This window comes from Homo sapiens, chromosome 7, assembly GCF_000001405.40.
Source record: "Homo sapiens chromosome 7, GRCh38.p14 Primary Assembly".
Taxonomy (NCBI): domain Eukaryota; kingdom Metazoa; phylum Chordata; class Mammalia; order Primates; family Hominidae; genus Homo; species Homo sapiens.
Window position 1 is genome coordinate 108,130,212 of NC_000007.14, and position 17,236 is coordinate 108,147,447.

Sequence of the window (17,236 nt, forward strand, 5' to 3'; positions counted from 1 at the left end):
CTTTATGACAACTCCACTTACCCCCTAAATTCTAATACCTTCATTTAATCCATAAAAATGCCAATTTGCTAGTGAGAGAGCAGGCAAGACTTACCAGGATCTGGGAGTCTTTGTGGAGAGGTTCAGGCAGCAAACGGGGCATGTGAAGACACACCTGAAAGTTAGAGCCAGTTTATGTAGAAAACATTCTCCCCGAGGCACCTAAAAGTAGGGAAAAAAAAAGACAAGAGGTATTCCAATGCCTGTCAAAAAGGTGATTTGTGAAGTCACTTAAGTTTTAACTTATACACACACACACACCCACACACACACATAAACAGGGAAATAGAGCTCAGTTTTACAGCAAATATTTTTCTTGTTTTCTCTAAAACCAATTTTAATAGCCAGGAATAATGCACAGACATTTTGTTCCCTGATTTATTTATGTTTTTCTGGTTCATGTTTTAGCGGTCATTTTCAGACAGCTTGATACTTACCAGCTATAAAATGTGCGGAATTAGATGGGCTTGTTTCTCAGGAATGTGAGACCCCTGACTCCATCCCAATCTACTTTCAGGCGGACCAGGTGGAATAGTTTCAGATGGGTTCCCAAGGCTCTGACCAGTCCTACCTGGCTCAAGATCATCTTAAATGGCTCATAGATTTCTGTTTACCTTGTGATTCGGCAAGTACAACTAACCATTGTGGGAATGGCAAGTTTAAGTGGTTTTGGAATCCATGTGGTTTGAAATTTCATTCTCCTACGAGGAAGGTTTATAGTATAGAAATGAACCTACAGCAATCTTACATTTTATTCACTTGTCAGTGGATTAATATCTCCATTTCAAATCTGTGCAGTTTCAATGGGTAAGTTTATTGGTTGCTTGAAAAAACATTTAGGATTTCTAGAAGCTCATGGAAAATACCCTTAGGGAAGAAAAATGATTGTGAACTGAGCCAAAATGAGATGCTCATTTTTACACAACATTTACAAATCAGGAAATAGATTCAACAAACTTTCACCAAATACCACTCTTACAGGCCTTTAAGCTTTTTCAAGGGTATTTTTCAATGCTTCTTACCTGTTATTTGTGTTTTAATTTATTGCTCTATTTTTCCATCGATGCCACTGTTTTTAATTTTGTTCCCTATAGGTCAGGTTCATCTGCTCACTTCTGATGTACTAGAAAGCAAACTCCAAGAGGGCAGGAACATGTCTTTTCCATTTTAGGATGAAGTATAGAAGAAGCTTGCAGTCAATATTTGCTAAACTAACTTGTTTTATTTATTTTTTACAAGCCAACAGCTGCCACAAAGTACCAGGTGGTAGGAGACCAAAGAGCAGTATTTGGTTTTTAGGTGGATACTTCAGCAAAGTGTGTGAGTGAAATCAAGGGACTTTCAGTTTGTTCAATTGACGGGTTTGTGATCTGTTTTATTAGACCAATACTATTTTCCCTTTAGACTCTTAAATTATTGTGCAAAGCATAAACTCTAGGCATTAAAATTTATATAATTTTTAAACTTATTTCAAACATTGGAATTTCATATTGTCTTTTTTGCCTTTTGAGATATGTAAATTTTAAAAGCTTGTTGCATTCTTGAGTGATTTGATTATATCTTGAGGGGTTTTCCTGTTATATGTGTCTCCAGTTTTATGACGAGAATCAAAGTTACATGGTTCAAATTTCAAAAATTTCCCTTTAAATAATCATGAATAGGTTATCGTAGGCTGTTTTCCTGTAAACTGATGGCATGTCTTGGGGTATCTGCTTTCATCTCAATGAGTTAACTATTTACCTCTTAAGATTAGGTGTAGAGTTAGAAGCTGTCAGGCAGGATATATTTTCAAGAAAAATAATTTTCCCATGCAACTAAAAGATCAGTCTATCAGTTAATCAGAAGCAGTCTTTCAGTATAGCTCTCCTTAAAGTGTTGATATCTTTTTTATTAAAAGGAAAATAGCTTTATTGCTTTTCCTGGAGAGTAGTATATGCTCTTTTACCCAAAATCGGACAATATAAAAATTCAAAGGAAAAAGAAAGTAAAAATCCTTGAAAGCCTCAAATTTTTTGGTAACTATCTTTCCAGATCCCTCCTCCTCATTCTCTGGTTCTTTTCTTTAGTCTATATACGCCTGTAATTTTTCTTTAGTCTCTATTTCTTCAGTCACAGAACCTTAAAAACCAACAGATTCCATTAGGTAAAATTGACCTATCAGAATTCATTTGTTGCAAGTATACATGTTAATGCCTTCGGTTGAACTAAAGTTAAATGTGAGAGAGGTGAATATTTCATCTCTTCCTTAAGACGAGGTATTTCCTCAGAAGTCAGCCTGGGAAGAAATTCCTGGCGCAGCCTCATCTCAACCAGAACTGCTTGGTGAGCCTTCTCTCGCTGTGGCCTTGCCCGTCATTCCCGCGCGGTGGCCCACCTAACTGCAGGGCTGAGGAGGTTGTTCCTAAAAAGACTTGCCCACAGTCGGGATTCCATGAGGGCTAAGGAGTCTTCACTGGGCACAGCGAGGCTTGCAAGTCCTGACAGGAAGTGTGGAGGATTACTCAGTCACAGAAAACCTTGAAACAGCTAATCAGCCTTTAATTAGATTCAGTGAACCTGAATGAAGCTAAGATCCCAGGGCTTGAGGCAGCTGACGTACTCTGCCAAAGCTCTGAAAGGACAGAAGGGAGCGGACTGCCTACAACGCCCTCAGGCAGCGAGGAAGTGGCAAAACCCTCCCTGACAGAACCCTTGTCAACCCCCTTTGTATTGTCTCAGAGTGACCCCAGACAGAGGGCTCATTGGCACCTGGAGAGAACCCCAATGGACTTACCATTTGGCTTCTCTTATAACCAACTCTCCCAGTTCTTCCCCTAACAGGAAGACCCATCCAGCCTGCAGTGGCCTGGGCCTGAGGTTATCCTGGCATCTTCCACCTCAGAATCTGCCTTGGCGTGCTCTAATTACAGAGACTGAGGTAGATGGAGCTCGCAGGGCATTTAGGAGAGAGGAGGAGAGGAGACTCAGGTCCATTGATTGTTCTTATAATCCCTGCAACAATCTAAAAATACATTGCAACATTTATAGGTAAGTGTTAAAATGTACCAAATTTTACAGTTGTTGATAAATGTGTAAAAGCTGTGTCATTTCTTTCTTTCTTTCTTTTTCTTTGAGATGGAGTCCCACTCTGTCGCCCAGGCTGGAGTGCAGTGGCGCGATCCCGGCTCACTGCAAGCTCCGCCTCCCAGGTTCACGCCATTCTCCTGCCCCAGCCTCCCGAGTAGCTGGAACTACAGGCACACGCTACCATGCCCGGCTAATTTTTTTGTATTTTTTTAGTAGAAACGGGGTTTCACCGTGTTAGCCAGGATGGTCTTGATCTCCTGACCTCGTGATCTGCCTGCCTCGGCCTCCCGAAGTGCTGGGATTACAGGCGTGAGCCAGCGCGCCCGGCCAAAAGCTGTGTCATTTCTAAGCAAAAATTAACCAGTCTTACAGTGTGAGACCCAGCTAGGACTTTAGAGATAATTATAGTTCTCTTTGTCCTTGAGAAAAAATGAAAATCTAGAGAGTTAAATGACTCAGCTAAAGCCACACATTAGTCCACGGCCACCTCACTGTAACAGCCCACAGTGGACGCCATGTTTCTTTTGTTGTTTGGCGTGGTAGCTTTGTGGCATAGTCACACTAGCACTCTTGAAGATTTCAGTGAATCTGGGGGAATGGGAATGTTTTGTAAGAGAATAAGTTGTACTAAATAATTTAATCCCCTCATCAACCTGTGAGGTAGACACTAAATTATTCTCATTTTATAAATGAGGAAACTGAGGCACAAAGAAGTTAAGTAACTTGCCTATCATCACACAGATATCAACATTTCTTTTAATTCCCCCGAGATGAACTGAAATAGCAAGAAAGCAGGGGAAGTAGAGTAGTAAAGATCAGGTTGTTGGGGGCCAGTCTCAGGTATCAAATGGCAGAACCAATCCTCCCAGGGACCTTCCCTTCCATCACGCTGAACTGTGCCAGGAAAAATTGTGAAAATCTTTGAAATGAACAAAAATATTACTTGGTATCTTATGTAGTATATCTTTCCTGTTTATTTCTGTGTTTGAGCTACTTTACAACTCTGTACTCTTAGAATACTGATAGTAGTACAAACGACTCTTGTCCATGGAAATGCCAGTCGTGTCCTGTAGAGATGCAGTTCATTATTGCCATATAGATATTGATAGATACAGATACCAGCCAATTGATTTCAGCATTTCTGATGGCCTATACATGTGTGTTTTTTAAAAACTTCTCCTTTGAACTGGTCATAACATTCTCTTGTTTCTCTCATTAATGAACAAATTGAATAGAATCTTTGGTATATATTTGCTTTATATTTGTATAAGAGTCATGATTTTGCCTTTAAAAATATTAACCCTTAACATCTGCTTGGCATTCCTAAGTGTGCCTGTGTGGTGTATGTGGTTTCTCCTGCATGGAATGTTTTGCCTACTTTATCTAGATCAAGGATCAGCACTCTACAACCCACAGGTCCATGCTGGCCACTGCCTGCTTTTATGGGGCCTGCAAACTAAGAACGGCTTTTACATTTTTAGATATTAAGAAAAATTTTAAAAAATAGTATTTTGTGACATATAGCAATGATATGAAATACAAATTTTTGCACTCACAAATAGTTTAATTAGAACTGTCCAATTGATTATCTACATATTGTCTACAGCTGCCTTGTTTATGCTACAATGGCAGAGTTGAGTAGTTGTGAGAGACCATACCACCTGCAAAGCCAAAAACTCCTACTAGCTGACACTTTACAGAAAAATTTGTTAAGCAATGATCTACTTCATGCTGCTAGAGTCTCAGTATCACCTCCAGGTCATTTTCTCTACTCCTCCATTCTGGGCTGTGTTTCCATTTCCTGATGCATGTAATCCCCCGTGTGTGTGTCTACTTTAGCAGTTGCCATCCCTGCTGTGTGGCTGACTCTCTCCTTATACCTCCACATCTAGTCTGTAAAGCCTTCAAGGACATGGGTTTTGTCTTATTTACCCTTCCATCCCCAATGCCTAAGATAGTGACTGGCACGTAATTTGCACTCAAAATTTGTTGAATAAATGCTTCTTATCCTGTACTGGGTAACAAGGGCATTTGCATAGCATGGTATTCCGAACAAGTATTTAACAACTGGCTAGCTATCAACCTTATTTTTAAGATAAGATGACAGAAATCAGTTTTTATCTTAATCCCCAGAAATGAAATGATACAGCAAGGAAGTGTTCGGGTAGAGGCAGTGAAGACAAGCTTGCTGGGGCTTGGCAAGAGTGGCTGTGCTCTGAGAAGGTGGAATGTGCCTGGATGAGAGCACATGTTTAAAACATCTTAAGGAGACTGCCCAGTTCTAACCAGTGTCCAACCTGGGCAGAGATCGGAACAGCTTCTGGGAGTAGCTTTCTCATTGTTTTTCACCTGCCTACTTATCTGTGGGTTTCAGAGTCCCTTCTGCTTGTCTTTCCATCTCCATTAATTCTTTGGTTTTTCTGCTTTGCCCTTCTTGTCATGTCAAGAAACTTTCACCTTGGTCTTGTGGCTTCCTGTATCACTCAGTGTGTCTTACCCAAGCACGTCTCCGGAGGCCAGTTCTGCTTTCTCAGGCAGCTCTTTGTGCTGCTCCAAATTTTCACTTCCGGAAGGTATCATTGGTGAGGAAAGCCAAGGGGTCACGTCACATTCAGTAATCAATATGGGATTTAGGTGATTAAAATAGCTTAGAGAATGAAAATATGGTTAGGAACAAGATTTTCAGAAAACTCTAAGCACTCTTTCAGAACTAAGCATTGTACGATTACAACTGCTCCCCAAATTGGCATCAGTTCTTTTCTGAATCTGTTGATTCTCTTCCTCAGTCTTCAGGTGTGCTTCTCTGCCTTGTCCTGCTACAGGATTTGTCATCACTTGGATGATCTAGGAATTCAGGTCCCAGACTTGAAATCATGTGGAGTCTTATATCTCCTCCGCCTACCATAGGCCTAAGCACAAATGTCAGTTCCTCAAAGGCAGTGACCTTCTGTTTCCTTTGCAACCCTCCCACATCTGGCATATTATAGAAGCTACAGGAGGTATTGGCATTGATAAGATCATATTTCCATTTCCCACATGTTATGGGTTGAATTGTGTACTGTACCCCTCCCTCTAAATTCATATGTGGAAGTCCTAATTCCTAGTACCTCAGAGTGTGAACTTATCTAAGAAGGGGGTCATTGTAGATGTAATTAAAGTTAAGATGAGGTCATACTGGAGTGGGGTGGGCCCCTAATCCAATATGACTCGTATCCCCTTTCACATACAAAAAGGGAAATTTGGAAATACAGAGACGTGTATATAAGAAAAACACCACGTGAAGACTAGAGTTCTGCTGCCACAAGCCCAGGAACCAGAAGCTAGGAGAGAGGCCTGGAACAGCTCTTTTTCCAGCACCTTCAGAGGAAGCATGGCCCTGCTGGCACCTTGATCTTGGACTTCTAGCCTCCAAAACTGTGAGAAGATAAAATTCTATTTTTTTTTTTTTTTTTTATTGAGACAGTCTTGCTCTGTTGCCCAGGCTGGAGTGCAGTGCCATGATCTCGACTCACTGTAACCTCCGCCACCTGAGTTCAAGAAATTCTCCTGCCTCAGCCTCTCGAGTAGCTGGGACTACCAGCGTGCGCCACCAGGCCCGGCTAATTTTTTTGTATTTTTAGTAGAGACGGTTTTGCCACATTGGCCGGGCTGGTCTTGAACTCCTGACCTCAGGTGATCCACCTGCCTCAGCCTCCCAAAGTGCTGGGATTACAGGCGTGAGCCACCGTGCCTGGGAAAGTTCTATTGTTTAAACTACTCGGTTCATGGTACTTTGTTACAGAAGTCCTTGCACCCATCTTTCTTCTTCCTAACCCCAGTACTGGGATTGTGGGTCTGTTATCACTTAGAAGCCATTGCCATTTGAGTTTGTTGAACTTTTGCTTTTCCAAACTAAATGTTTCCCCTTGTATTAGTTCCCTCTTGCTGCTGTAACAAAACTACCGCAAACTTGGTGACTGAAAACAACACAAATTTATTATCTTACAGTTAAGAAGTCAGAAGTTTGGAATCAGTCTCACTAAGCTAAAGCCAAGGGTTGGCAGGTCTGGTTCCTTCTGGAGGCTCTGAGGGGAGAATCCATTCTCTTGCCTTTTTCAGCTTCCAGAAGCTTCTGTGGCTCCTTCTTTGTGTCACACAAACCTCTTGCTTCCATTGTCATGTCTCTTGTTACTAAGGTGGATTCTCCTGCCTTCCTTTTACAGGGACCACTGTGACTTTATTGTGCCCACTAGGATCATCCAGGATATCCGTCTCTATATTCTTAATCACATTTTTGAAGTCACTATTGCCATGTCATATATTCACAGGTTCCAGGGATTAATTAGGCTATGCACATCTTGGTGGGGGGCATTATTCTTTCTGCTCTACCCTCTTTCCATCTATTTCCTTTCCAAATTTCATTCATTTTCCAGGGTCCTCTTCTAGGATTCCTCTATTTCAGCCCACAGTGGCATCTGTCTTTGTAATTATAGTCTATAGACCACCACAGGGCTTGGTCCTAGATCTCTAATTGTTGGGTATGAAGTCACCTGGTCCGCCACATGCCCTGAAGGGAAGGTGCCTGAAGTGCAGAGATCATTGTTTTCATTCTTCCATCTCTCTTGAAATCTGTGACATTAGCTATGGGCCCAAAGATGTAAAAAATTGCTTGATGGAAGGATTTGCTTTTTTTTGGAGTAACTAGATGCAGAGGGGTAAATCTAGACCTCTAGATTTGCCCTCTCTTCCTCCTTTGTCCACGTGCTATGGAAGTAAGACTGAGCTTGGCTAAACAGAGTAGAGAGCCAAGATCCCTAGTCATTGTCTACCCATGAGCAAGCTCTCCTGAATACAACTGGTTAAGCGGTTAGGCATGACTTTCATATTCTTACTGTGTCCTTCCCATCTCTATGGAAAATAATTATCATGACACAACCCTGACAACCTCTAACCAGTCCCAACAAGGTTTAGGGGACTTTATGAAACAACCTATAAGAAGAGAGAAAGTCAAGGAAGTCTTGGCTCTGCCTTCTGAAGCATCTGGCAGCTTCACGACCATCAGAGCTTAGATGATTCTTGAAAGCTGGCTGCCCTCGTGCCATGCTCTATATGCAAAAATCCAAAGAGAAAGATATGGGTCTCTGCTCTTCTACAAAAGTGGGTCCAAGCCTAGGTAGTCAGCTCCAAACCTGCATAGCCAGGAACAGCCATGTCTTTCCTTTTCATAGCTTTTGGACTAGGGGGCTCCTGGCCTTTAAAAACAATAGGCTTGTTTTTCATTTTTAAATATTAGTCTTTTACAACTGGACAGACTTATAGGCCTACTCTCTTCTCATTTTGGATATCCGACTTTCACTTAGTTTAGATTTAAGGAGAAATAATTTAAAGAAAGAGCTTGTATTCTGGAGTCAGACACACTTGAGTTCATAGACTAGGTCTCTTCTACAGCTGTGTAATCTTTGGAAATAAAAGCAACGCCACCTCACAGGATTGGTGAGAACATTAGATGGGAATGATGTACACATTGCCTTGTATAATACTTGGAATTTAATGGGCAGTGAAGTTGGGTTATCTTCTTCTTCCTCCTCATTTTAATCCAGAAATTCCTTGCTAAATGAAGAGCATTAAATGCTGGAAACACATATAAAGTAGGAAAACACAAGGATTGTTTGTATTTGGGGGACAGGATGTGAAAGAATGTAAAATAATTTGCAAAGGATTATGTCTTAGGCTGCTTGGACTGTCATAACAATACCACAGACTGGGTGGCTGAAACAACAGAAGTTTATTTTCTTACAGTTCTGGAGGCTACATATTCCAGAGCAAGCTGCCAGCCAACTCAATTCCTGGCAAGGATTCCCTTTCTGGTTTGCAGATGACCACCTTCTCTCTGTCCTCACATGGCAGAGAGAGAGAGAGAGAAAGAAAGAGAGAACAAGCTCTGTGTTGTCTCTTACTATAAAGACACTACTCCTATCAGATCAGGACCTCACTGTTATAATTTCATTTAGCCTTAGTTACCTCCAGAAAGACCCCGTCTGTAAACACAGTGACACTGGGAGTTGGGGCTTCAACATATGAATTTGGGGTGGAGGGTGACACAAATATCCAGTCCATACAGATTTCAAGGTCATGTTTACACTTGAAATTTTCTTTCATTTCAGATTTTATCTTGGGCATTTTAATTGCATTAAGATTGAGAAGAATGCTTCTTTCCCTACTTCTGCCTTTTTGGACTGTGGTGGCATCAGCCAGTGCTATGGCCTTTCCCCACAGCAGTGGAGATGAGTGGAGTCTTCTCACAGGTCCCCAGTGCATCTGCCCAGTGAGAGTTCCTGTAGTTCACTGCAGATGAAATGGGCTTCTCATGCTACCTCAGTTACCAGAATCGCCCTCTTTAGAGTCTCCTCCCCTCCAAAGATGATGTGGTCTCTCCACATATCATGCCCTCCCTGTTTCTTATCCTAAGTCAGTTGTTCATTGAGTGCATCAAGATGCCAGTTGCTGCTACATTTTTCATTGCTTATTCTGATATCTCTGTATCTCCACTCAATGCAGCAATGCTTTACTCTGAAAAAGCATTTGGTCACAGTGTTTCTATGCAAAGCTGCTGCATGCCTATATTTTTATTCATAGTATCCGATGGCATTGTATAAAACGGTGTGTTTTCTTTTTAAGGGACTGAGAACATTTTTTTCCCCCAGAGAAAATAGAAAAGAACAGGTCTGAAGGGGAAACCACAAACAGGGGCGACAAAAGCAGGCACTAAGGGAAAGACATCTCATTTGCCTTGGTGGTCTGGGGAAGTTTTTGTCAAAGGAATTGCTTTAAAAATGCTGAATTTGTGGAAAAATGGTTGCATGCATACCCCAGTGAGACTTATATAAAAAGAATCTGGGAATGGTTGCATTCTCTCCTTAATTCACTCCAGCAATATTTATTGATTATCAACTGTGAGCCTATACAGTGTCTGGTACATATGAGGCACTCAGCAAGTATCCTCAAAAGAAGAAGAGAATACACAAGTCTTAGGGATTTGTTTCTAGGAAGGAGGGATACGGCGGTGGACATAAGTCAGTCCCCTGTCTTCTTAGAGCTCTAGTTTGGGAATGCAGACACTCAGTGAGTGAGTAAATAAATACAAAAACAAATTTCAGGCTATGATAACTGCTATAAGGAAAACAAAGCATGACATGTGTGTGAGAAAGAGTAATAGAGGAAGGGAGCTCTTTGTAGACAAGACGTGACAGGAGGCATGATTCTACTGCAGCCTGGAGAATGAGGAGTGAACCATGCAGAGACCTGGAGGAAGAACCTCCAGGTAGACAGAACAGCAAATGCAAAGCCTCTGGGTGGGAAAGGCCACAGTTTCTGTGTGAAGAAAAGAAAGGGGGCCAATGTGGCTAGAGCAGAGTGGGAAGGAGGAAGGGAGCAAGGGGCTCTGGTCAGAAATTTGGATTTTCTTCTAAGTGGAGTAGGAAGTCTTTGAAGTATCTTAGACAGGGAGTTATACAGTCTCTCTTTTGCAGAGATTAGCAAACTATGGCCCATGGGTAAATCTGGCTAGTCATAGTTACACCCATTCATTTAAATATTCTCTAGGGCTGCTTTTGCTGTACAATGACAGAGCTAGCAGTTGCAACACAGAACAAATGGCCTGCAAAGCCTAAGTTATTTACTGTCTAATTTATTATTATCATTATTATTTTTTGAGACAGGGTCTTGCTCTGTCACCCAGGCTGGAGTGCAGTGACATGAATAGTGATCACTGCAGCCTCAACCTCCTGGGCTCAAGTGGTCCTGCTAAGTAACCAGGACCACAAGTCCCAGCCATCACACCTGGCTAACTTTTTAATTTTTTTGTAGAGATGGGGGTCTCACACTGTTGCCCAGGCTGCTGTGAAACTCCTGGGCTCAAGCAATCTTCCTGCCTTGGCCTCCCAAAGTGCTGGAATTAAAGACATGAGCTACTGTGCCTGGCCTATCTGGTTTTTTAAAGAAAAGGACTGCCAACCCTGTTGTGTTGTGTGAAGTATGGCTTACAGGAGGGCAAGAGAAGCAGGCATACAGGTGGGAGGCTGGAGATACAGAATGTGATGTGTTCAACATATATTTTGGAAACAGACTTCTAGAATTGACCAATGGACTTGTTGGGGAGGGGTGGGGAGCTTAAAAGATGACTCCTGGGTGTTTTGCCGTGAGCCAAAGTGGTGCCATTTACTGAGACTGGGCACTACTATAGACTGAATATTTAAGTCCTTCCAAATTCATATATTAAATACTAACCCCCACTGTGATGGTATTAGGAGGTAGGGCCTTTGGGAAATGATTAGGTCATGAGCCCTCATGAATGATATTAGTCCCCTCATAAAAGGGACCTCAGAGGAATCCCTTGCCCCTTGAAAGCTAGGATACAGGATGCTGTTTAAGACCTGGAGAGCAAAAATGAGGGTGGTACCAGGAAGGAGTAAGACAGGTAGTAAAAACTCGGGGGTGGGGGGATAAGAAAGAGAAACAGGATGGCACACGATACTAAGCTGGTGCTACCAAACAGCTAAGGCTTCACTGCTCTTGTGGTGTTTCACTGAGGAAACAGGAGGGCTGGGAGGGGATGTGCCCCACAATATGGTGTAGGCATCATAAGCCTAATTTATGCATAGCCTATTCACTTCTCAGACAAACGTAAGCCTAGTGATGGTTTCTTCTAACAGCTTTGTGGAGGTGTAACTTACATATTGTAAATTCACTTGCTTCAAGTATAAAATGTAATGATTTTTAGTAAATTTACCATTCTGTGCGGTTATCAACACAATCCAGTTTTAGAACATTTCCATCACTCCAGTAAGATGTCGCATGCCAACTTGCAGTTAATCCTTGTTCCCATTCCCAGTCTCAGACAATCACTATTGTCCATTGTCTTTAGAAGTTTGCATTTTCTGAACATTTTAAGGAAATGGAATCATGCAATATGTGGGTTTTTGTGTGTGATGGCTTCTTTAGTTCAGCATAATGTTTTTGACGGTCCTCCACATTTTGGCATGTGTTAGTGCTTTTCAAAAAATTGCCGACGAATAGTATTCCATTTACTTGTATAGATATGCCATTTAGTTGTGTGGCTATGCCACATTTTGTTTATCCATTCATCTGTTGATGGACATTTTTTTTGGGGGGCAATTATGATCAATGCTTCTCTGAACATTACTGTACAAGTCTACGTGTGGACATGTGTTTTCATTTTTCTTGGGCATATACCTAGGGGTGGAATTGCTTGCTAGGTCATATGGTAAACTTTCATTTAACATTTTAAGAAATCACCAAACTGTTATATTCCTACCAGCAATGTATGAGGGGCCTATTTACTCTAGATGTTTCCTATAAGAGGAATATGAGAGAATTTGAGATCAAACATGGGCTGTGGGAAGAAACGTATTCAAAATACTGTTCATTAAATAATTTCACACAATAGGGTGGGAACAAGTTGTTTCTTTACACTAGTTTCAATCTTGGCTGCATATTAGAATCATCTGGGGAGCTTTAACAAGTTGTGATGTCCAAGCCATGTCTCAGACAATTACAATAAAGATGCTGTGAGGGTGGGTGGGCAGGTATTAGGGTTTTGAAACTCCCCAGGTGATTTCAGTGTGCAGGCTGAGACGCTCTTGTGTGAAAAAAAAAAAGTTTGTCAAGTCATTCACCGAGATAATGAGCTAAATAGTTACAGCTGAAGACAGACAGTGTCCATAGGACACGCTGAGTGAGACTGGAAAATTTTTATGGCTATAGAAGGAACAAAGGATGTACTGTCTGGCAAACAGTAGCTTTTGTGATTATCTTCATATACTTTTTCCAGTATTATTTCAGCCATGAAGTGTAGAGAGGATGATAACTGAAGGGGGTAAGTAGGGTGGGAATCAAAGGTTTCAATGGTCCATTTGTTTTATATGGGAGAGACTTGAACGGCGTGAATGTCAACAGACACTCCAGTTAAACAGGAGAAGAAATAACTGATGGGTAAGAACCCACCAAAGAGGAGAGAGATGCCAGCTCAGGTAGAGGGACTGGCCCTCGTTAGGAGGAAGGATGGCTCCTCTGTCTTAACAGGAGGTAGAGGTAGAGAATGAGAAAATATTGAGGCAAACATTTTGGTTTGCTAGCAGGAAGATGAGGAAATTCCCATCTATGCTTCCCACCCCCCTTTTCAGTGAATTATGATGTAAGGTCATTTTGTAGAAAGTGATTTGTGAGGCTGGGCACAGTGCCTCACACCTATAATCCCAGCACTTTGGGAGGCCAAGGCGGGTGGACCACTTGAGGTCAGGAGTTCAAGACCCAGCCTGGCCAACATGGGGAAACCCCGTCTCTACTATTAGCCAGGCATGATGGTGGACACTTGTAATCCCAGCTACTTGGGAGGCCGAGGCAGGAGAATCACTTGAACCTGGAAGGCAGAAGTTGCAGTGAGCTGACATCACACCACTACACTCCCGCCTGGGTGACAGAGTGACAATCTGTCTCAAAAAAAAAAAAAAAGAAAGTGATTTGTGAGAGTAAGTGGAGAGAGAGGACAGGGTTGAATCCTTCAGGAGAGTGAAGATTTGACATAGTCATTGTTGAGTGTGAGAATGTAAGTTCCCCTGAGAAAAATAGCAGGTCTACTAGGCAGTGTTGAGAGTTGAACCATTTGAAGATATTTATAAAACTGTAGTGACACTGATCTTCTCAGCCCCTAGGGGCGGGCAGGAGAAAGCAGACAGTAGACTTGCTCCTGAGTCCCAGTTTCTCTATGGGTGTTTAGAAAAGACAGAAGGCCAAAGGAGTTTAATGTAAAGCAGGAGTGTTTCACACATGGACTATAACATCTGTGCTGGAGGAGGGATGGAGAAAAGGGGTAAGGTGAAGGGTCGATGGAAATCGGAGGGGCAGTGGAGAGGCTGTGGGCAGAGTGAGATGTGTAGACTACATGATCGTGGAGGGAGAGATGTCAAGGAACTGTACCTAGGACTGATGGGTTGCCCATATGAGTAATGGCAGAACTTGTCCCCATTTCCTCACCTACTCACTCTTCATCTCATTCCAATCTGAACTACACTCCAGGTGGTTACTTTTACTAAGGTCTTAGATGACCTTTATGTCTTCAAATCCAAGAAATAGTTTTCAGTCCTCATTTTGCTTGATTTTTCAGTATAATGTGACATTATCAACCATTCTCTGGTCTTGAAATGGTCTCTTTCACTGGCTTCCAGGACAACACATTCTCTTTATTTCTTCCTGACTTCGGGCTCCTGTTTACTGGTCTCCTTTAGAGGTCTGTCTTTCTCTTCCTGTCTATTATATTTGGAAGTTTCTGAGTAAGTTGTAGTCCTCAGCCTTCTTGCCTACACTCTTTCCCTAGGCAATCTCATCCATGCCTCATTGTTTAAATTGCTACTTGTCATCTCAGAAGTTTCTTTGGAGCTGTAAGCTCAAATATCCAATTCCTATTAGTTATTTCCACTTGAATGTCTCAGGTTTTCATACTCCTCATTTATTATTCTGAAATTATAATATGCCCCCAAATCTAGTTCTTTTCCGAAGAATGCCTTCCTGACCACCTTGACCAGGCTGGGCTCTGCCATCATTTGCTCTCATGGAATGCTGTGCCTTCCCTTTATAGCTCTTACCTCAGTTTGGAATTACACATTCACTTAGGTGAGTATTTGACAATGTCTGTCTGCTCACACCAGCCTCCAGCCTACATAAGAACAGGAACTACATCTGGTTTTGCTCATCGTGTATCTTCCCAAATTAGCAAAATACTTGGGTCTAGAAGGTGCTCAGATTTGTGTGTGTGTGTGTGTGGGTTTGTTATTAAGAACCATAAGATCTAAGCAGAAAGATACCTTTGAAAACATCTGCTATCTGTCATTTTCAAGTCGAAAAAGCAGAGGCTTGGAGACGTGGGAGATTAGGGGGTTCATTTATATACTGTCACACAGCTAGTTGATGGCAGAGCTGGAATCTGAATCTGTTCCCACCCTCCAGGGAGGCTGGTTGACACTAAGGGGTCATTTTCCTGCCTGGTGCCGTTTCGGCCAATAGAACCAAACCAAGCTTGGTAAAGCAGAGCAGAAACTTTGTTAATAAAGAAATGGAGAAGGGAAGCTCATACTCAAAGCACCTTCTTGCAACGGGGGAGGGGGAGGTGGTGGTGGGGGAAGGAGGGGGGCGGGTAAAGGGGGATGTTAAGAGCTCTTAGGGCAGGTAGGTGGAGACTGGGGCGGGATTCCTGAAAAAAGGTGGGTTCTTCCAGGAGGCGCTACAGTGTGCACAGTCTTGTCTTTTGTACTTGGCACTTTTTGTGCCTAGCAAGGTACATTTCTGGCCCCTGGGCAGAGGTCTTAGCATGGTAATGAAGCAAGAATTCAGGTCGGGGCAGTACTGCTGAGCTACTTCATGGTTACTGGCATCCGGCCTTCCTCTCTGTAAGCAAGCGCAGATGCGAGCACAGGTTAATTTCACAGGTTTGGGGGCTTCCTGAAGTAATTGGGGTTATGTTGCTATGACAAATCCCCATCTCTTTCCGGTCCAGTGAATTTTCCACCTCCACCTAGGAACTATTTATTTATTTAGTATAAATATTCAAGTAGTAGTCTCTCCCTCTCTTGCTTTTTTTTTTTTTTTTTTTTAGTGAAAAGAGCTGTGCTTAAACTGTGCTTTTTTGGGGGGTGCTATACCATCACAAAACATCAAACCATTGGCAGATAAAATAGCATACTCTGGAGAAGAGGGAGATGCCATTTTAATGACGTGCCTCTCCTCATCCCTACCGACTTGCAGCCGTGATAGGGATGCTTAGTAGGACCCAGGAGGCACACTCCTCCTTCCTCTCCCAATACCGAACCTCCCGGGCCACAATCATTAAGAGGAAGAAGCTTAACAAGGCTCACAGGGACACATGCTTCCTCCCTGGATGCTGTGGACTCGTCAGAGAAAGCTGCAAATCCCATTTTCCCCTGTTGCAGCAGGCAATCATTTTTTGCATGATCAGATCACAAGCTGATTATCAAAACTGGTTTGCACTGTGTCCAGAGGCCACTTTTTCCTGCAAGCAGGTTTCTCTCACACTGCATAGAGCAGGGGAGCCCTCTGGTGGTAATCTGTAGGAAAATTTCCTGAGCGGGAGGGATTTGCTTAATTTGGGTAAGAATTCTTCATATTCTTTTCCCTTGCCTCCATAAGCCTTTTCCAAAATTGCGGGGCGCGGTGGCTCATACCTCTAATCCCAGCACTTTGGGAGGCCAAGGTGGGTAGGTCACTTGAGGTCAAGAGTTTGAGACCAGCCTGGCCAACATGGCAAAACCCCTGTCTCTACTAAAAATACAAAAATTAGCCGGGCATGGTGGCACACACCTGTAATCCCAGTTACTTGGGAGGCTGAGACACGAGAATTGCTTGAACCAACCCAGGAGGCAGAGGCTGCAGTGAGTGCCTCTGCTCTCCAGCCTGGGTGAGAGAATGAGACTCTGTCTCAAAACAAAACAAAATCAGCCATTAGAGGTAAACCAGGCCTGTTGTAAGCCATCTGAACAAGAAAGTTCATACCATCAATGGACCAATGCTTTTTGGGGTCAAGATTGCATTTCTCCAGACCCTTTTTGCTAAAGAGCCCCAGGACTGATGATGAGGACAAAGCTATGGACTGTGAATTTGGCGGACGTTGTAGAGGGGAGGAGAGGCCCTGAAGTGCTGTTCTGAAGTGAGTGACAGACATGCCCTCCAGGTGGAAACACCAAGCTCTACATAGCACTTTAAGGTTCACTTATATAACATGTGATGCAAATCACCATGGAGGAGGGCAGCTCTGAGCCAGCAGGAGGTCTTGTCAGTGTGATGCTGGGACTAGGGGGCTGGAGAATAAGGGGCAGGTGGTGGAACATGGGAACACGCCAGGGCTTGGCTGTTTGCCAGAGGGTTTGAGAAGATTAGAAGCATGGGGGTGGAGAGAAGGGAGAGGGTGACATACATTCGATACCTGTAGTGTCCCTCTTCAGACAGGAGAGTTAAGAAATCTAAGTCGCCTGTGATTCGGGAGGGCAGAGTCCAGGCAAGCAGAAGAGAAGCGCCGGGCCCAGGCAGACACCAGGAGCCAGGCTTTGGGAAAGGAGGCACCACC

At 42.9% G+C, this 17,236-nt stretch overlaps 1 protein-coding gene across 12 annotated transcripts in view; it reads right to left on the reverse strand.

Annotated features, from left to right (window-relative positions):
• LAMB4 (laminin subunit beta 4) overlaps positions 1-150 on the reverse strand; it is a 118,700-nt gene extending 118,550 nt beyond the window's left edge. For all 12 annotated transcript variants that reach the window (XR_927421.2, XR_927422.2, XM_011515975.2 and 9 more), the window contains exon 1: positions 95-150. The gene's annotated coding sequence lies outside the window, so the exon portion shown is untranslated. The remainder of the gene's footprint in view (positions 1-94) is intronic.